Raw genomic sequence first — 22,201 nt, 5'->3', positions numbered from 1 at the left:
TCATGCCCGTGCTGTGGATGGAAAGTGCCATGTGTTTGGAGCAGCTTCTGGCTTCCTGGCAGCCGTGGGTATGCGTTATCATGGTGCAGGGTCTAGTGCTGCCCTTCTGGAGCTGAAGAGAACCTGACTGTTGCTGGTAACCATATGACTCTAAAGACCAAAGTGTGACCCCCTCACCCTCCCGTGGGCTGCACCCAAGCAGACCTCCTGTCCTTATGTTTTTGCATTGTGCCTGCTGCTCCCAGAGTCTGTCGCTCCTTACAGCTTTGTTTCTTTGCCTCAAGGGCCACAAGATGCTTTTGCTCAAAAAGCCCCCTAATCAGCTGCACCCAAGCCGGTCTGTCTGTGCCATCACTACCACCCAGCATCCTGCCGTTAAGGTTCAGTGTTTTGAAGCTGAGCAGTATAGCAGGTGACATCTCTTTGTATGGCCACCCTTGGTCATGATGAATTTGCCACCAAGTGACTTAATTCAGTGTGCTAGGGAATTCAAGGCTTTTCTCCTCTGGAACATTGTCCATCTTAAGCAATACTGATCTTACCATAAAATCCTGTGTGGGGAAGCAGAAGTTGACTAGAAAGGGTTTGATTGTGGCACCCACGTTGAACGTGTTAGCTATCTAGAGTATCATTTGTTTCACTTCTCATCAATCCCCAGGCTCAGTAGGCGTCTTCATTTGGATAAGATTGATTATTATACTCATCGCATTATTGCATGGGGTAAGGGACATATGTGTTGGATCGATAATCGTGATGCTGCCAATGAATTAAAAGTTTTCTGAGCCATAATATGGTTCCCAGAACAGCAACATCAGCATCCCCTGAGAAGTTGCTGGAAATTCAGATTCTCAGGCTTTACCCCAAACCTACTACTAAATCAGAAACTCTGGGATACCCCTCCATCTGTGTTTTAGCAAGGCCTCTGGTGATTCCGATGTCTCCGTGGTTTGAGACCCACTGCCATAGAGCAGGGCTGTCTAATAGAACGTTCTGTGGTGATGAAACGGTCAGTATCCCTGCCATGCAGTAGTGAAGCCACTAGACACCACATGTGGCTATTGAGCTCTTTAAATGTGGCTGCTGTGACCAAACAATAGCATTCATCATTTTATTTTTGATTAATCTAGGTTTAAATTCAAATAGCTGCATATAGCTAGTGGCTGTCCATCAGATAGCCCAGCCCCAGAACACACCCTGCTAATTATTATTGTGTAAACTCCTAAAATGCTTTAAGTTGTTGGTTGTGGAATTATTAATTTTAGATCATAGAACAGAATTTTCCTTACTCAATTCAACAGAATTGAAACTATTGTTATAACAGTAGTTGATTTTGATTCTTCGTGTGGAGGGGAGATAGTTTGCGGGCTGCTGGCTGGTTGGGGGAAGCCTATTCTTGAGCTGATTGATTGTTGATTTTGTGAATGTGCATCAACTGTGCAGTGCCGGGTGGCTCATGCCTGTTGCAGATATAACCAATGGCCGTAGATACATGTCCTTTTAGGAGTAAAGCTGTTGCTCAGGAAGGGGCTGTGCCAGTGTTTCGCACAGATGGACTGTGGTTTCTCCAGCCTGTCCAGCAAAGTGGAGGTGCTTCCAGCCAAAGAGAAGTTAATGAGCCCTTCAGGCACTTTGGGCTGCTTGTGGAACCTTCCAGAAACTGTGCTGCAGGAGTCAGGGGTGCTGAATTGCCAAGTCTAGGGCTGGCACATCAGATGGACAAAACTCTTGAATCACATTCAGGTTCTTCAGTTTAGGAGAACTTGAAGGAAAAAAGGTCATGCCAGGTGTGTTAGGTGGAACTGCTGCAGAGCCTAGAAGAAACTTTGAGATTTGTCTCTGGGGTGATGTGACCACATCCTTGTCACCTTTCCAAAACACCAGCAGATGCTCTGGGACGAGAGCATCCCCAGCAGTCCTGTGATCCTGCGGCTAGAGCAAAATGTGACATTGAGGAGCCAGGGAATGTCTGAGTCCTTTGGGACTGTTCCCCCAAACCTAGCAACTGAAGTCTCAAACTTAAAGCAACCGTCTTTGGCTAGGCAGAAAATGATACTCAATTCTTTGTCAAAAGCAAAGTTCTACATGACTAAGCTTCCTAATTGAGGGCCCCATTTGTTGAATTATTTAAAGCCATATCATTGATTTTCATAATCCATCTCCTTTTAGAATCCTAGAATGTTAAAACAAAGTGGAAGAGACCTTGGAAATGGTCATAATCCAGTCTTCTTATTTTACAGAGGCCCAGAGAGGTTATGAGTTGAGTAAGGGCACACACAGCACTGTAGGGCCAAGGACCACATTGCTCTTCAGTTTCTTTGATGTCATAGGTCAGCTGGGGTCATAGGTCAGAAGCTGGATAGATTGATGAAAAAGGAACGTTTCAAAGACATGATAAGAAATATACTGATGCACGCTATTAGGTTTTAAATGCTTCTTGCTCATGCATCCTATAGCTATTTGGAAAATTCCAATAAAATATTTTGACTGGTAAGATATCGCAGTGGCCTTTTTGAAATAGCTAAAATTGTTCCTGCCACATATGTATATGATTTAGTCATGACACAATTCATATTGCTAACTGGTTATTTTTTCTGGACAACTAGTTTGGTTGGGAGTAGTTTATATTCCAAGCACTAGGCCTGTTTCAGTTTATTGACTTTGATACCCTATCTTTTGTAACTTACTTTCCTTAAGTAACATTCCTCTCCTACTTTATCCCCAAAGTATTGAGATGCTATGTGTAAAAAGTATGGTGCTGTGCACCTAATCAGCATTCTCTAAGTATTGGTTCAAAGAGTGAATACCATCCCATCCAGATGGGTCTGCATGTTAATTTCTTTAGATTTTCACTATGACTGGGGGTTTAAAAAATTCTGTATATTAGGGAGAATATTAGCTGTGTAATTTTTTTTCTCATCTAGCTTGAATGGAGTCTTAAGCAAAAAATTCACATGCTCACCAAAAGGCTGGGAGAGGTTTTGTAAATTGAATATGAGGTTATTGTTTGCATCCACAAGACAAAGCCCTAAACCACATTTAGCATAATTTGTGGTTTTAAATTGGACTGATTTAGCAAGGAGAGTGAAATAATCTCTCATCCTGTCAAAAAGGCGATACCTTTAGACGAGCATTTAATTCAACTGGCAGAGTAACTTTGGGAAGATGACAGTAATTCTGGCTGCATTATTCTTGGTTTGTGGCTAATTTGAGATCATCGTTTTCTCCTGATTTCACTAACTTTTGTTATTACTCTTCAAACTAATCAGATGAAGGCTTAGTGGTAGCTGGAGGGTGGACAGGGGAGGGATGAGGTCTGTGGGCAGCTGCACTGTATATACTTTATGATCTGGGGGGAGGAGATGACATCCAGTGACCTAGAAGACACAGCCTGGTGATTTTCTTTTCCTTTGAGATAGAGTTTCACTCTTGTCACCCAGACTGGAGTGCAATGGCATGATCTTAGCTCACTGCCACCTCTGCCTCCTGGGTTCAAGTGATTCTCCTGCCTCAGCCTCCCGAGTAGCTGGGATTACAGGCACCTGCCACCATGCCCGGCTAATTTTTGTATTTTGAGTAGAGTCGGGGTTTCACCGTGTTGGTCAGGCTAGTCTCAAACTCCTGGCCTCAGGTAATCCACCTGCCTCGGCCTCCCAAAGTGCTGGGATTATAGGCATAAGGCACCACTCCTGGCCCTGGTGATTTTCTTGATAATTGCTTACACAAGGTGAATACCATTCATTTCCACAGAAGTGTTCCATGGAGTGTGCACCTAAGAATGTGCATTTGTGTCCATATTGTACAGGTAGGATTCCTTTCAATTCCTGCAGGTATCCAAGAGGGAGGGTTCTGGAGGAACTTCCAGCTGTCTAGATTACCCCATGAAAACCTGTTCTTTTATCAACAGCCACTTCAGGAGCTCACCCAGGGACTGCTCACTAGACCACTGCTCCCTGCCCATGTGCCCTAGTTCAGAGTAATCCGTATTCTTCACAGTCCCTTCTTCCAGTGAAAACATTTCTTTTACCTTTCACCAAGCATTCACTCTAAAAGAAATCAGGTCAGCGATACTGTAGACATTTCAGAAAGCTGAAAATGATTACTCAAAACTATAATTAGCAATGTGCCTGTCCTTTTAATTTTGTTGCCCTAGGAGTTATCAATTGGTGTCCTTGAAATGGCTAGCTGCTTAAATATTTTAGATGTATGTTTGGCATTTTACACTCACCTTTGTGCTGGTTCTGATCACAAGTGCTCTTGGGTCTGAGTTTAGGTCTGACTGCAGGCAAGCAGGTTGGTTTTCTGGCCTCCTGGGGCACCCCTGGAGGAAGCAGATGGGATGGGAAGTAAACCTGACTGATATGAGATATCACACTTTTTCAGACTGGGCTCCAGGTCCCTGTTCATGTTTTTAGTTACCTGGATAGTCTTGGTATCAGAGTTTACATGAACCATGGCCAAGCTTATCGCCCATACAAATGTTTGTAGAATGATTGAATAGCAAATGGGATAGATGAATTACAGCCTATGGAAAGTCCTTCTACTGCCAATTTATAGTTTGTACTTTTGAGATAAAGATGCCTTTGGCTTTTACATTTGTATTTTCAAGTATATATATGCTAGGGAAGGAGGAACCTTTCAGGTCCCCAGTGGTTGATTTTCACCTTTGATCTGCACACTAGTGTTCATAGCATGTTACTGAGTTGACTTTTTTATTTCCATATAATAACAGTATATCGATGTGTTGCTAATCTGATGTAACATTTGTGTGTGTGTGTATGTGTATGTATGTGTGTATGTTTGTATGTGTGTGTGGTATTGTTCAAGATACATTACTCCAGAGGCCAAAATCAGAAACTAGGGAGATTGAATATTTCATTATTTAAAATTGAGCTAATATAATGCAATGTTAAGAGGACAGCTGTTCAGATACTGGGTTAAACAGCTTCAATGTATGTCACCCAGGAAGGGATTTGGAGGTTGCTGTCTTTCTTCTGGTGGCAATGCAAGAAAACCGAAAGAAAAAAACAATTGCACTTAAAAGATCCTATATGACAGCTATAAGTGTATATGCTTCGTAATATTCACTTTTATAGGCTGCTATGGTACAGAAATTCTCTTTTGTGCCTTTTTGCTCTGTTTCCCTCTTCATTGTCTGTCTGAAACAAACTATGCCAAACACTTAGCTAATGATATACGAAGGAGCATTTCAGCGGCCACTCAGAAGTGAGTGACTGCTTATGAAAAACCCATAAAAAATAAGTAAGACCGATAGGTGAATTCGATGGTCCTTTTGGAGTTATATGTTTCTTAGCTTTGAAGAAAAACAAAGTGTGCTGCTGCCATCCCTTGCTAGGAGTTCCGTTCCCAGATTCACACTCAGCATTTATGTTTCCATGGTGGTGCCACCAAACACAGCAGAACTGAAGAATTTGGAAGTGCTCAAATTTTTAAATAACCAGATCGAGGAGCTGCCAACACAGATCAGCAGGCTTCAAAAACTCAAACACCTGAACCTTGGGTGAGTATCAGTGGAGAGGAAAGGATGGAGAGAAAGAGAGTGGAAGGGGCGTGCTGGGTAGGGCCAGGGGAGGGATTCCATTTATATCATTACACAGAAGTGGATTTCTGATTTCTTTTTGTGTTTTGGGTTTTAAAAAAAGTTTTATTGTTTTAATATGTCCTTTTGGTGGCCTACATTAGTGAAGATTTGAGAGCTAATTGAGAAGCTAATAGTTGGCACAATAAGGAAGTTAAATTTTTACTGTATTTTGTGTCCAGTAAAATTTTATCTCAGTTCTGTTGACCAAGAAGGGACTTATTTGCATAACGTGAACTGACAGACAAGTTGTAGTATGGTTGATTTTTTTTCTGTCTGTGTTAAATAGGAATAGTTTATAAAGCACCTTCATGCCATGGAGGGAAGAATATATTCCCTAATGCTGCTTCATTCATTTTTGCAATTCTTCTCTGTAGTTGAGAGGTGACAATCCTCTGTCTTTCTTTATGCAAAGGTGAAGAGAGGAGTTTTGGTTCAACTGAGGTTGCAGAACCGGGGAGCGGTAAATAATAATAATGATAACCTGTCTTCGTGTATTGCTTTGCAGCACTTGATCCTCTTAACATTTGTGAGGTAGGGAAAGCAGGTTTTAGTGCTTTCATTTTATACAGAGGAAGCCAAGCCTTTTCAAAGGGGCTAAGGGACTGGGTCCTGGTCACCCCTGAGGTTAGTGGCCAAGCTGGGAAGAGAACCCCATGGTTCTGGGTCTAAAGGCTCCATCAGACTCCATTGATATGGTCTGGATCTGTGTCCCCACCAAATCTCATGTGGAATTGTAATCCCCATTGTTGGAGGTGGGGCCTGGTGGGAGGTGATTAGATCTGCGGGCGGAGCTCTCATGAATGGTTTAGCACCATCCCCTCTTGGTACTGTCCTTATGATAGTGAGTGAGTTATTGCAAGACCCCTCGTGCTCTCCTTCTCCTGCCATGTAATACACATGCTCCTGCATTGCCTTCCACCACGAGTAAAAGCTCCCTGAGGCCTCCCCACAAGCAGTAGCTGCCATGCTTCTTATACAGCCGGTAGAACCATGAGTCAGTTAAACCTCTTTTCTTGTAAGTTACCTAGCCTCAGGCATTCCTTTATAGCAATGGGAGAACAGACGAATACATCCATAGACCCCAAGCGGAACTGCAGCATCAGAATTCCATCTTCATTGGCACAGCTATTAGATGAAACTGCCCACTCATGCTTCAGTCTCTGTGCAAAGTCGTATACTCATTAAATTGTAGCCACTAAATGCTCTGGTTAAATTAGTGATTGACGTGGAGTGGCAATAGATGCTGGACAGATATTTGCCAATTTTTTTATTTTTATTTTTATTTTTGAGACGGAGTCTTGCTTTGTCGCCAGGCCGGAGTGCAGTGATACGATCGCAGCTCACTGCAACCTCTGCCTCTCAGGGTTAAGCGATTTTCCTGTCTCAGCCTCCCAAGTAGCTGGGACTACAGGTGCACACCACCACACCCAGCTAACTTTTGTATTTTTAGTATAGACGGGGTTTTACCATGTTGGCCAGGATGGTCTCAATCAATCTCTTGACCTCATGATCCACACTCCTCGGCCTCCCAAAGTGCTGGGGTTATAGGCATGAGCCACCACGCCCAGCCGCGAATGACATATTTAAACACTCACAGCACTGCCTGCCTGGGGCCTAGGAATTGTCGGTTTTTTGGCACTGTTGAGTATAAAGTGTGAGGCAGGTGGCTGTAAGGTCAGAGGTCAGGCTAGACAGGGAATCCTGGATATCTGCTGTTCAGTGAATGAGGATTTACCAAGTTCCCAATCGTGTACCAGGCATTATTCTAGCTACTGGCCATCCAGCCCTGATGGAGCTTCCATTACAGTTGAGGAAACCAACTATAAACAAATAAATGTTTATAATAATGGCAGGGAATCAAAAGTGCTAATGAAAGTCCTCTGTGCTAAATAAACAAGCTCCTCCCAGGCGTGGTGGCTCACGCCTGTAGCCTCAGCACTTTGGGAGGCTGAGGCTGGAGGGTCAGCTGAGGCCAGGAGTTCAAGAACAGCCTTGTCAAGATGGCGAAACCTTGTCTCTACTAAAAATACAAAAATTAGCTAAGTGTGGTGGTGTGCACCTATGATCCCAGGTATTCTACCCAGGAGGCTCAGGCAGGAGAGACATTTGAACCCAGGAGGCAGAGGTTTCAGTGAGCTGAGATCATACCACTGCACTCCAGCCTATGTGACAGAGTGATACTGCATCTCAAAAATACATAAGTAAATAAATAAACGAGCTCCAATTTTATCATGCTGACCATTGAGAAATTTGCATAGCCAAGTGGTGGATATGAGATATGGTCAGATTTTCCTATGAAAGATCAGTGTGGAGAAGAGGGTGGAGGGATGGAAACTAGAGGTTAGGAGACCAGTAAGAACATGAGCTTCATGTCCCATGTGAACTAGGACAGTGACAGTGGAGACAGGGAGGGATTTTATATGAAAAATATACAGGTGGTAACATTGACAGACAGTAACTGATGGGATGGAATGATACCTACGTTTCTGTGTCGGACAGCTGAAAAATAGAACAGATGGAGACAGGTTTGGGAAGAAAATAATAAGCTCAGGTTTTTTTCTGTTTGGTTTGAGGCACCATAGGACAGAGCCATAAACTTTTCTTTTTCTTTTCCTTTTTTTTTTTTTTAGACAGAGTTTTGCTCTTGTTGCCCAGGCTCCAGTGCAATGGCACGATCTCAGCTCACTGCAATCTCCACCTCCTAGGTTCAATCGATTCTCCTGCCTCAGCCTCCCGAGTAGCTGGGATTACAGGTGCATACCACCACACCCAGCTACTTTTGTATTTTTAGTAGAGATGCCGTTTTACCATGTTGGTCATGCCGATCTCGAACTCCTGACCTCAGGTGATCCACACGCCTTGGCCTCCCAAAGTGCTGGGATTACAGGCGTGAGCCACTGCACCCAGCCCTAAACTTTTCTTTTTCAATGAATGCATCTTAGTTGCCTTCTTGTTCTCTTTGGAGTTGTTTGCATTTGGGGCTATTGGTGCTTTATTGATTGTGTAAAGCTTTTTGTATTTAACTACACAGCTACATAGACGGAGTTGTCAAAGTTTGAAAAAACCTCCCAGTTCTTTGGGAAAGGAGCTAAGATGGGTTTCACTAAAGGATACCTCTGTCCTCAAATGGCATAAAGAATTATACTCACACAGTAAGGCAAGTTATAGGGAGGACCTCCATGAGGTACAGGGTGCTTCCAGACACATGTCACCTTCATCAGTCACTTCTGAAATCTTTGCTCCTTACTCTCTCTTAGGCTTTTTTTTCATCTCAAGATAGCATTAATTACAAGCTCCATCTTGCCTGTATTACAAGGTAATACAACAAGCCAAGTACTTGCCATAATGTGCTTCACAAATTTGTGACTTCATGGAGAATGTTCGTTGTTGCTGTCATTGCAGTAGATAGTCGTGGAGGTAGTTTTGCTGGGTGTAGTCTGTCTGGGTCGTTTTCTGCCTGAGAGGGGGAACCCACGTTTCCATTTTGGTTTCCCCCTGCTGTCTGCTGTTTCTGGTGAGGCCCACTTGGTAGGACTGGACCGAGCTGGATCTGTTATGAGAAGCATCGATGACTAGAATGATTTTTATTGTCACAGTCCCTTCCACCTTTCAATATCTGTCAACTTTTATTAAAGTTTAATTTTTAATTGGCTTTTAAGTGTGCTCAAAGGGAACGGCATTAAGAAAAATAAGGGGCTTAAAGAAAAGGATAAAAGATAGTGTAGAAAAAAAATTCCCTTAACATCACACACCGGGGCCTGTCAGGGGGTGGGGGGCTGGGGGAGGGATAGCATTAGGAGAACTACCTAATGTAAATGACGAGTTGATGGGTGCAGCAAACCAACATGGTGCATGTATACCTATGTAACAAACCTGCACGTTGTGCACATGTACCTCAGAACTTAAAGTATAATAAAAAAAAAGAAAAGAAAAAAATTCCCTTAGACTTCATCGGAGACACACACACAGACACAAACACGCACACACACCCACACACACACCACACACACATACTGCGTAAACACACACACCCCCACACCCCCACACACACCCCATACACATACCACACCATACCACATCCATACCCCCACACACACCACACATACAACACACACCACCACACCACACCCTCCACACACACCACAACACACACACCCCATGCCCACCCACACACATCACACACACACCACACCCCCTCCACACACCACACACACAGCACACCCCCCACACACCACACATAACACCCCCGTACACACACACATAACACTACACACAACACCAGATACACACCCACACACACCACACACCCCCGCACCCACCCAAACACAATTGACCCTTCAGCAACACATGGGTTGAGGGAGCACCACACTGACCCCCCATGGAGTCGAAAATCCACACATAACTTTTGACTCTGAATAAACTTAATTACAAATAGCCTACAGTTGACCGGAAGCCTTACCAAAACATAAATGTCGATTAACACATATTTTGTGTGTTATATGTATTCTATTCTGCATTCTTACAATAAAGTCAGCTAAGGAACAGAAAATGTTATCAGGAAAGTCATAAGGAAAACAAAGTGCATTTACTGTTCTTCAGGTGGAAGTAGATCATCTTAAAGGTCTTCATCCTCTTCTTCATGTTGAGTGGGCTGAGGAGGAAGAGGAGGGTTGGTCTTCTTGTCTCAGGGGTAGCAGAGGCAGAAGAAAAATATCCATGTGTCATTGGACCCAGGCAGTTCAAACCCATGTTGCTCAAGAGTCAATTGTACGATTTAAAAAATTTTTAAGTTGTGATAAAGTGCACATAAAATGTACTGTCTGGCCAAGCAGTGGCTCACGCCTGTAATCCCAGCACTTTGGGAGGCTGAGGCAGGAGGATCACGAGGTCAAGAGATCAAGACCATCCTGGCCAACATGGTGAAACCTTTCTCTACTAAAAATGCAAAAATTAGCCGGGCATGGTGGCACATGCCTGTAGTCCCAGCTATTCAGGAGGCTGAGGCAGGAGAATTGCTTGAACCGGGGAGGTGGAGGTTGCAGCAAGCTGAGATCTCACCACTGCACTCCAGCCTGGACGACAGAGCGAGACTCTGTCTCAAAAAAAAAAAAAAATTACTGTCTTTGTAGTATACAGTTCAATGGTGTTAAGCGTATTCACATTGTTGTTCAGTCAATCTCCAGAACTTTCTCATCTTGCAAACCTGAATCCTACACCCACTAAAATACATCTCTCCATTGCCCCTCCCTCCAGCCCCTGGCCATCACCATTCTAATTGAAGATAACTTTGAATTTTAACAGTTGTAGAAAAAAAAAAACATGATTTTCCCTCCTAAAAGGAAAAAATGAAATGAAATAAAGCAAAAATCTGAAAACTACAAAGCTTCATGTGTGTAGTTTCAGATATTATTACTACATTCATCAGGAAGTTTTTCTTTACAAGGACAGATATTTTGTGATGGTTTGAGTTTTTGTGTAAAAGAATGATTAAATTTCACCACTGGAGAAAAATGACAACTAAGAAATTTCCAAATGTTTCAGGAATATATAAGCTCTCTAAAATTATTAGTTTAAATAGGACAACATACCACATCATCCCACTTATATGTGGAATGTAAAAAAGTAAACCTCATTGAAACAGGGAATAAAATGGTCACCAGAGGCTGGAGGGAGAGGGGAATTGTGGAGATGTTAGCCAAAGGACACGAAATTTTAGTTAGACGGGAGAAGTAAGTTCAAGAGATGGATTGTACATCATGGTGACTGCAGTCAATAACAATATGTAGTATATTTGAAAATTGCTAAGAGAGTGAATTTTAAGCGTTCTCACCACAAAAGACAAAAAAATGACAAGCATATGATATGAGGCAATGCATATATAAATAGTGTGATTTAAGGCATTCCACGATGGATGATACATATATCAGAAATATCATGTTGTACATCATAGGTATGTACAATCTTCATTTGTCAATGTAAATATTAAATAAATACTTTTTTTAATTAAAAAAAATAGGATGGGCATGGCGGCTCACACCTATACTCCCAGCATTCTGGGAGGCTGAGGTAGGAGGATGGCTCGAGCTCAGGAGTTTGAGACCAGCTTGGGCAACCTGGCAAAAACCCATCTCTGCAAAAAATGCAAACATTAGTGGGGTGTGATGGTGTGCACCTGTGGTCCCAGCTACTTGGGAGGCTGAAGTGGGAGGATTGCTTGAGCCCATGGAGGTCGAGGCTGCAGTGAGCCAAGATCGTGCCACTGCACTCCAGCCTGGGCAACAGAGCAAGGCCCCATCTCAAAAAAATAAAAAATAAAAATAAAGTGACTCTAGGATCATGGCACTCTCTTACACTTTCAGCCTGTGAAACAGAGGTGCTCTTGATAGTCTGTATAAATGTGTCTTTGGTGTCCTGATGTAGATTTTTGTCCCCCTGCAACAGCATGAACAGGCTGAACACTTTGCCACGAGGCTTCTGCTCTCTGCCAGCTCTTGAGGTTCTGGACTTGACTTACAACTTGAACGGAAATTCTCTTCCTGGAAACTTCTTCTTTTTTTTTTTTTTTTTTAAGATGGAGTTTCACTCTTGTCCCCCAGGCTGGAGTGCAATGGCGTGATCTCGGCTCACTGCAGCCTCTGCCTCCTCCTACCTCAGCCTCCCGAGTAGCTGGGACTACAGGCGTGCACCACCATGCCTGGCTAATTTTTGTATCTTTAGTAGAGACGGGGTTTCACCTTGTTAGCCAGACTGGTCTCGAACTCCTGACCTCATGATCCGCCCACCTCGGCCTCCCAAAGTGTTGGGATTACAGGCGTGAGCCACCGCGCCCGGCCCCCTGGAAACTTCTACCTGAGTAAGAAACTTTCAGTTCTATAAATCTCCTCAACACTATACTTTGCCTTCTCAGAGTGAAATTTATTTGCCAGGACCTAAACTCCAAGAGAAATTATTGGACAGAGATAATTTTTTCTTTAGAGACTCCTTTTGAATATTCCTTAGTAGCTCAGCAGTATGTGCATTTGATATATCGTTATGTGACACCGTTGGGCTGAAGTGGACTTAGTAACATCATATTAACATTCTGAGAGAGATTATATACCTAAATGAGATCAAGCCTCACATTTAGCTAAGAGACTTGACTTTCTTTTTAAATAGCATGCCAAAAAAAAGTATCCTCCCATGTTGGTATTAATTCTTTGCAGGATATTTGCCCAGGAAGTCCGAATCAGTTATTTATAAAAATATTTATTAATAAATCACTAACAGAATTCTTAAATTTTCTAGCCAGGATTCTTATTTCCAGCCTTTTAAAAAGTACTCTTATTGACCTATTTATCCAGTACACAGGCATTAAGAAATTATTGGCCATAGGTGAACACACTTTATTCTTTTATATGCCAACAAATTTCTTGCTGAAGATGCTTCTGAAAATTAAAAAATGGTTTCCTCTGGGAACTCATGCACTATTTCAGACAAAGTTTGCTTCTCTTAAATGAGTGTTCTATTTCTTCAATTAGTAATTTATGTGGCATTCAGAAAATCTGAATTTTCTGAGCTGGTCTCTAAAATTTCACTTTTTACCTTATATACATTATCTCTATGACTTTCTCAAGCACATGAAACCAACTGTAAAATATTTTCTTGGGCAGTGGAACACCTGTTTTTATTATGTTACATTAACATACAGTTCTGGAGTCTGAGCTCCAAAGATCACTTGAGGCTAGGAGTTTAAGACCAGCCTGGGCAACATAGAGAGACCCTGTCTCTAGAAACAAAAATTAAAAAATTAACCAGGCATAGTAGCATGTGCCTGTAATCTTAGCTAATCGGGAGGCTGAGGTAGGAAGATTGCTTGAGGCCAGGAATTTGAGGCTGCAGTGACCCACTGCACTCCAGTCTGGGTGACAGAACGAGACTCTGTCTCTAAAAAATAAATAAATACTGATAAACAAAACATACCTCTAATTATACTCAGCTTTTTTGGTTGAGGATAAACAGATGCTTTAGAATTTTAGCCTTCAGTAGTTTGTAATCATATTATCATTGTGTAGTAATTGTGAACAAATTTCTGACTACTGATATTCTGCTTAATTTCTGACTACTGATATTACTGCTTAAGTTAGGATTTCTGACTGCTGATATTCCGCTGAAGTTAGGATTTACTCTGTTAACTTCATGCCATTATTTTAGCCCCTTTTTCTTCATTTACTTTTGGCCTTAAGGCTGTAGAAACAAGTAGTAATAATTAGTCAGATTATGGAACTGATGAGCTGTGGTTATAGCCTCCATCACCAGAAAGCCTTTCATTAATTTTTAACACAGTGCTATTTACATAGGAAAAGGTCTATTTTAACATAGTTGTATTCCCTCGAAAGAAACTTTTTGCCCTAGGTATCCATAAAAGTGGCACAGTAGTTTTCTTTGTTTTACTTTGGATGAAAATGGAGAAATAAATGTGAATCAAAAGTAATCTGTGAGAAAAATAGCAATCTTTTTTGAAAATGTGTTGAAACTCTGTGCCCCAAAATGCTAGTGCCCACGTTGTTAATTGTATCAGTCCTCTTGGATATAGATGTTTTCCTGGACACACCAGCTACACAATAAGCCAGTAAATGTAAGTTTGACCTGCTTGTTATTATTGGGAGCCCTAGGTATGTCAAAGGCTTTTCACCAAGCCAGGGTTATTAATCAAAGCTGACTCCCTCGTATTGATCAGACCTCAAATGGTTGGGTTCCATGCCACCCTGTTTATATATTGCTGTTTAATTTGCAGCCACCCTGTGTGCACTCTATCTAAGTGACAACGGTTTTGAAATCCTGCCACCAGATATTGGGAAGCTCACAAAGTTGCAGATAGTAAGTAAGTTATCTAAATTCTTAGAAAATCAATTCACTGCTGCAGCCTTGTAGGGGTAGAATCAAGTAAATCTGAGCAGAAGTAAGGTTTGTTTTGCAGGAATAAACCACTACTTCTGATAGTGTTTCTTGATTATCCGCCAGCACTTGTAAATAAATGGAAAGGACTGAGCTGTGGTAGAAGAGAGGACGTGGAGGAGGATGAGAGTTTCTGTGGAGCACCTTTTAATGTGAAAATGTGTTGACAACTCCTTGTTTTCTTCTGTTTAGCTCAGCAATAGGGATAAAGACCTGATCTCACTGCTTAAGGAAATTGGGGAGCTTACCCAGCTTAAAGAGCTCCACATTCAGAGGAACCGCCTCACTGTTCTACGCCCAGAACTAGGTAAAGTTGCTGATGAATGAACTTAGTTCTGGGTTTCATGAATAACAATTATCCCAATGTAGCAATTCTGAACAACCTCCCTCCTCTTCTTGGCAACTACTCTCCACCTAGACACCCAATGTCTCAACAATGACAAATGTTGAGAAACATTTGTCATTGACCAGAGTTCAGCTGTTATAGGTTTGACCTTCCCCGATGCTGTGTTCTGCAGCTGTAGTGTCCCGTGTCTTAGAAACTGCTGATGAAAGATGACCCTGCTCAGCTCCCTGCATAATGTAGTGGAAAAAGCATGGGGTTAGTAGTAACAGCCTTATGCATGGGTCCTCGTTGACTAGCTGGGTAAGCTTTCTGGGTCTTGGTTGTTATTGATAACTTTATCGAAGTATCACTCTTACTTTTTAACCCCTTACTTTTTTATTGACCTAGAAAAACTTTTACCAAAGAATTAAAGTAGTTGTTACGGCTACTTGAAGTTGTTGATACCTCTGCTGGTCGTGAATTTGCCTCTCTCCTGATCCCATTTCTAGTAGGAATTGTTAAATATGTTCTTGCTGGGAATAGGTCCTACTTCTGGCCACTGAATCCTAATTCTCTGCCAGGTCGTTCCTATTTGCAGAGTGGGTTTATGTCCCCTGCCGGAAATAATCTCCAAGCCAGTCATTCTGTTACTGCTTCATTCCACTGCAAAAGGTTCCCAAGTTCCCTTATCTTTTCCTGTGCAGACCCTCAATAGCCTCTAATTTCTTTAATCCTTTGAACCACATTGTTTTCTCAAACTGCGGTTATTTGCTTTTCTGCCCCAAAATACCATCATTTTTAAGAAACACATAGAGGAAGCAGTTCTTTAAACAAGTCTGGCCGTTTCAAGAGGCCATTTGTTAGAAATTAAAATGCAAGCACCAGGAGGGCAGGGGCGTTTTCGCATTTGTTCCCTGGGGTGCAGTACTTGCTCAGAAAACATTGACTGAATGAATGAAAGAAGCAAGGACCTTGGATGGCAAGAGGTTAGGAAGGTTATGAGGAGGCCGATGGGGCTAATGGTTACGCATAGGAAGACTGAGACACAGAGCACACCCATCAGCACCCAGAGTTCTGCTGGCAGCCTTATTAGGCTAAAGAGAAGGCAGTCACGTGATTTCCTGGAACAGATGGAAAATCCCACCTCCTCCCTTCCCATTTCCCTTAACTCTCTTGTTAGTGTTAAAAGACCAGATGATTATTTAATGATTTTTAAGGGCTGAGGAGCAACTCAACATTTCTCTTTACTGAGTTGCAAGCAGTCAAGTTTTGTTTTGGGAGCAGGGTTACAAAATCAAGAAACGCTTTTTGCAAACAATTTCAAGGCAAAAAACTTCTTGTCAAAGGAGAGATCTTGGGCTGGACACCATGGCTCACACTTGTAATCCCAGCACTTTGGGAGGCCGAAGAGGGTGATCGCTTGAGCCCAGGAGTTTGAGACCAGTGCCTGGGCAACGTGGTGAAACCCCATCTCTACAAAAAGTACAAAAAATTAGCTGAGCATTGTGGTGCATGCCTGTAGTCCCAGCTACTCAGGAGGCTGAGGTGAGAGGATCACCTAAGCCTGGGAGGTCAAAGCTGCAGTGAGCCGTGATTGTGCCACTGCACTCCAGCCTGGGTGACAGAACAAGACCCTGTCGAAAGGGGGAAAAAAAAAAGAGAGAGAGAGATCTTGCACAGTGGTTAATAACCACAGATGTTATCATTAGTAATAGCTGCGGAGCTTCTACAGAACTCCAATACTTGCTTCCTCCCCAGCCTACTAAATCAGGATCTCCAGGTGTGAGGTGAATTCTTGTGTAACTTGGTGTAAAGCTCATTTAATGCCTCTGACATGTGTCCTTGGTTAGCATGGTTAGTAGAAACAGAAAAATAAATGTATATTTTGACGTCATTTGATCTTATTTCATTTTTCAAGCAATGAGGCAACGTAGGATATTAAACAATTATTTTATCAGACAATAATTTGCCACCAAAATGTCTAGTTGAACCTACACTTGCCTATGTATATATTTTAAAATCTTACTCATTTTGCTTATCTTATTTAAATACTATATGAGGTCATCTTTGTTCAACATTTCTGTTAAGCTTTCCATTAACAAATCATGTATATTTTTATTCAGGTGTAGAATTGAGGGGGCAGGCTTTAAATGACTTTATTTTTGACAGCCATATGTAGAAAAGCTTAATCTTAACATTTGCCTGATAGCAGTTTTTCCTGATTATAGGCAAACACTTAGTTGTAAGTAAATGATAAACCTTTAGAAGTCACTGTTACAAGCTAAACTCAAGATGAAGACAAATGTACTATTTATTTTTGAATGGTGATTTTTTTAAAAAGTCAACATTAATATAATACTAATATAGTAACAGCTATTATAATAATAGGTAGTATGTATTAAGGCCTGGAATTGCAAGGCAGTAAGATAAGTGTTTTTCCTGCAATATCGCCTACAACTACCATAAGAATTACAAGCAGACTTTTTAGAGGTGAGGACATTGAGGTGTAGACAGGGTTGGTTGGTGACATGTCTGTGGGGGACACACAGCTAGTGAGTCACAGAGGTGAGATCCGAACCTGGCAGTCCCTCCTCTGGGTCCAGCTTCCTGATCATGGTGAGGTCCTCTTTCCCACCCATATGCTGGTAAAAGGATTCCTAGAATTGCAGTTTTAAAGTTTGAACAAAACACAACCCCAGCACACCCCCCTAAAAAAAGCAGGCAGAGAGACGTTGCTGGATGGTGAGTTGGCATGGGCTTTGCCGGTGTGTGAGGAAGGCTAGCATAACACTTTGCAAAATGCAACTGAGATGGCCTCTGGAAGACAAATTGCTGTCCCATTCCAAGTCAGTTGCATTGTCCCCATGTCTCTTTCCCCTCAACAAACATGACCCCCAATGGGAACGTCTTTTGTTTGTTTGTGTCCCCAACACCTGAGGTGACCATCTGGATGCTGCTCTGGGCTGGCTGATGGGCAGTGCCGGGCACTGATGATGCACATGAAGCTTATGCTACAGGTTTGCTTCTGGGGGTGTTTTAAAGCATGGATGATGATCTCTCCCTGTATATTTTTTATGTATCTGAATATACAAGATAAATGCTTTTGAGATTTCTGTGAAATTTCCTTTCATAATAAATCCAGAGTTTATTAACTTGTAACCTTTTTGGTACTAGTATTTCAGCCAAGCAAGAGAATCTAGATGAGTTCTGATTTGTCAGGTCTGAGAACATGCAGGGACACAGCAAAATAAAGTCAGGGGCTTAGCTGGAGTTTTAATATGTGATTGTGTTACTTTCCCTTTATTGTATGTCCTTGAATAAGCTACTTAAACCGTTATGTCTGATTTCTAAGTAGTAAAGCACTTGCTTTCATATTAGTCTTTATACCTATCAAAAATGAGATGTAAGTTGAGTCTCTTGTGTAGCCGTTCATTCATTTATTTATTCAGGTTAAGTTCCTACTTTAGGGCAGACCTTTGAGTCCAAGGAACTTTCTTTTCCAGTAAACTAAGATTCACTTATTCAACAACTGTTTGTTGAGCCCCTGGTATTTGCTAAGGGTTATGACAAGAGACAGAACACCCGTTATTGATGATGTTCTAGTGGGAGAGGACAGAAAAAAGGAAGAGAGAATATGAATGACAGACACGTGATATTAAGAGTTCTGGGAAAAAATTGAGCATGGAAGGGAGTGTCCGGCTGGGGAAGGGGTAATCAGAGAAACCCTCACTCATACGGTGGTGCCCTTTATGCAGAGACTTAAAGGAAGAAGAGAGGTCTCCTGATGGAGAGAACAGTAAGTGCAAAGGTCCTGGGTGGGCTTGTGTTGAGGAAGAGCAAGGCCAGTGTAGCTGGAACACAGTGAGTGAAGGGGAGAGAGTTGTAACCAATGAGCTTATACAGGAAGTGGGGTCTGGTTCACCTGGGAACTAGTAGGACATTGTCAGGACTTGGGCTTTTACTCTGTGTGAAATGGACACCCCCATAGATGCTCCCATCCTAATCACCAGTATATGAGAATTTGTTACCTTATGTAGGGAAACAGACTTTGCTTATGGGCTTTGGAATCTTGAGATGGGGAGAGTATCCTGGATTGCCCAGGTGAGCCCAATGTAATCACAGGGGTCCTCATAAGAGGGAGGAAGGAGGGTCAGAGGTAGGAGTAGAAGACGTGGTGACAGGAGCAAGAGGCTTGAGTCACTCGTGAAAGGGGCCACGAGCTGAGGCAGGCAGCCTCCAGAAACTGGAAGGGCATGCAGCCAGATTTCTGCTCCCAACCCTGAAACTTCCAGAAGGAATGCAGCCCTATTGGCACCTCAATTTTAGTTCCATAAAATCCAATTTTTGGACTTGTGCACTGTAGAACATTAAGAGACTAGATTTCTGTTGTTTTAAGCCACCACTTGTGGTCATTGGTTAGAGCAGCAAAAGGAAACTGATACAAATGGGAAGACATTGAAGGGTTTTGAGCAAAGGCATAGCATGATCTGACTTTCTTATTTAGACACAGAGTCTTATGTGATCACACAGGTTAGAGTGCAGCAGTGCAATCATAGCTCACTACAGCTTCCATCTGCCAGGCTCAAGTGATCCTCCCACCTCAGCCTCCCAAGTAGCTGGGACTACAGGCATGTGCCACTATGCCCCACTGATTTTCTCATTTTTTGTGTGTGGAGATGGGGTCTTGCTATGTTGCCCAGGCTGGTCTCAAACTCCTGGGCTTGAGTGATCCTCCTGCCTCAGCCTCCCAAAGTACTGGGATTACAGGCATGAGCCATGGTGTGCAGCCCTTGACTATTTTTTGGAGGAGTTCTTTGGCTGCTGTGTTGAAAATAGGCTGGAGGGCAGAGGGAAAGGGTGGAAGCAGAGAGTCTGAGAGACAGGAGACTATTGTAGCAATCCTGGTGGGAGTAGATACTGGCTTCATCCAAATGGTAATGGCAGTGATACAAGTAATGGTCGGATACCGGATCTGCTTCAAAGGCAGATCTAACAGGAATTGGTAACAGTTTAGATGAGGGGTGAGAAAGTTAAGGTTAACTGTGAGGTTTTAGTCTAAGCAACTGGAAGGCTAGGAAAGGTTATAGGAAGAGTAGAAAGGTTATAGGAAGAGTAGATTAGGAGTAGGAAGAGTAGATTAGGAGAGGGATTGAGGAGAGGAGGTCGTACTGAACTGAGTTTCAATATGTTAAGTTTGAGATGCCTTTGGGGTATCTCATTGAGAAGGCAATGGGGTATAAGAATCTGGAGCCCAGAAGAGACATCTAGGCTGCATATATAATTTGGGGCATTATCAGCATACATTTAAGGCTACAAATTGGATGAGATCCTATGGGTGTGACTGCAGAGAATGAAAGATTGAGCCATAAAGCACTGTGGTTCCTAAACACTGAAGCCAGAAGGATTGAGGATGTTTATGGGTTGGGCTGACTCGCAGGCAGACATCTGTGGCCAGTCAGGGACTGTGGCCCCCTCGGTTGGCACCACAAATGGCTCCCCATTGCTGGGGCTGTGTGGTGTGTTTTTGCTTCGTAGGAAAAAGGGGTTCTTTTAGGAGGCAGATAGGGGCTATTCTCTTTTTCCTGACATCTGCAGTTAACGCTGCCAGGGCAGGACAATGGAATGCATATAATTGAAATATCATCTGGAGCCTGCCTGAATGCAGAAGTCTCTTTTTGGCCAGTATTTTCAGCCAGCTTCCAGTCTCCTAAAAATCAGCCAGCCATGTGGCTAACTGAAATTTCACCCTTTTTTTGTTCCTTTATATATTATTTCCTGGAAGAATTAATTAGTAGAGAGGATAAAGACCTTCATTGGTAGTGGAGAAAGGAAACTCAATATATGCCTTGACCAATCCTCAGAATAGGTCAGCAGCCCCGGAGAAAAAACAAAAAGGTAATTTGGGAGCTGGCGGCATCACCTGGGGTTTGCAAGCAGTTCTCTGTCCCACTTCTGCATTTTCTCACCCGCCGATGAGACCACTGTCATGTGAGCTGAATATTTGGATTATGTGTTTTGCATCATTCTCTTTGCTAAGCATTCCATGGTTTCTGCTGCTTGTTCTGAATTGGAATTGTTTCTGGTTTCTTGGCTTCTAGGCAATGATGGGACCTCTTCTCCTGCATTTGTTACCCAGATAATTTTGCCTTTGGAGAAGAGAAGAAAATCACATTGGTCTGCTCGGAATGCAACAAAACAAAGTGTTATTGACACCAAAACCTTATTTGCACCAATCCAAACAGCCTATGGGACATATGTCTGCAATGCTGCACACACCTGGGGCTAGCCAGCTTAGTGCCCTACGATATGTGCCAATAATCGATAGCATTTTTTACTACAGTAATTATGAGAAGCATAGTATTTTCTAGCATGCTTGTGAAGAGTGGAAACAAATATTAATCCCCTTCAGAGAGTAAAGGACATTATGAATTGAGAATTTCCTCCCAATTTATTCTCCAGAATGAACAGAATTAACAGTGAGTGGATGTACGTCCAAAATTTCTTCTGTTATATCTCTTAATCCTTTTCCTGCGGACATCGAGAAACTAAAGAAAAATAACTTTCTTTACTGAGGCAGGCAAGAAGGAAATCCAGTATTCTTTGTTTGATCAATTAAGTCTCTGTAAGTGTCTCATTTATCTTCTCTTTTGTTATTGTCACTCTGTCAACTGGTTCCCAATTATTTTATCCAGAGGTTTAAAACTTTTTTAAATGTAAACAGTAGAGAATAGAGGTTAAGTGCTGCACTCTTCATCACTAGGCTTGGGTTCAAACCTCACTCTCCCACTCCCTTGTTCTGTGACCTTCAGATACTGATATGGTTTGAAAGGAAAGGAAAGGAAAAAACAGATCAAAATGTTTCAATAATCATGAACGTATATGTATCTGATAATGTACCCTTTATTTATGCTCAATGAGATTTAACATGTTCATCTCAGAAAGGGATAGATCAAGCTGCAAAAAGTTTGCATACATAGAAGATCTAAATAGCATGACTAACAAGTTTAAAATATTAATGTAGAATCATAAAAATATAATTTTTTCAAGCACACATATAATATTTGTAAAAATTGACCAGGTACAAATCACATAGTAATTCTCAATAAATTTTAGAAAAAGGAATAGCATTGTATAAACTGTGTTTATTTATCACAATGAGGTAGAAGTAGAAATTATTAACAATTATTAACAAAAGTAGAAATTATCAAAAATGTTAGCTAATAAAAAATTAAAAGTCCATATGTCCTGAAACAAAAACACATGCCACTAAATACATCTTATCTGATTAAGAAATTATAATTTTGAAATATTAAAACTGAACATCAATAAAAAGTACTTTATGT

At 42.0% G+C, this 22,201-nt stretch overlaps 1 pseudogene across 1 annotated transcript in view; it reads left to right on the top strand.

Moving 5' to 3' along the window:
• RSU1P2 (Ras suppressor protein 1 pseudogene 2) overlaps window positions 1–21,980 on the top strand; it is a 55,121-nt pseudogene extending 33,141 nt beyond the window's left edge. Inside the window, exons 6-9 of the transcript NR_024472.1 lie at window positions 5,416–5,518; window positions 14,373–14,455; window positions 14,726–14,840; window positions 20,957–21,980. The product of NR_024472.1 is annotated as a Ras suppressor protein 1 pseudogene 2 (transcript). The remainder of the gene's footprint in view (window positions 1–5,415; window positions 5,519–14,372; window positions 14,456–14,725; window positions 14,841–20,956) is intronic.
• The last annotated feature ends 221 nt before the right edge of the window (window positions 21,981–22,201 follow it).

Source organism: Homo sapiens, chromosome 10, assembly GCF_000001405.40.
Source record: "Homo sapiens chromosome 10, GRCh38.p14 Primary Assembly".
In the NCBI taxonomy this organism is placed as follows: domain Eukaryota; kingdom Metazoa; phylum Chordata; class Mammalia; order Primates; family Hominidae; genus Homo; species Homo sapiens.
The sequence above is the reverse complement of the archived record's forward strand: the minus strand, read 5'-3'. Positions and strand labels throughout refer to the sequence as shown.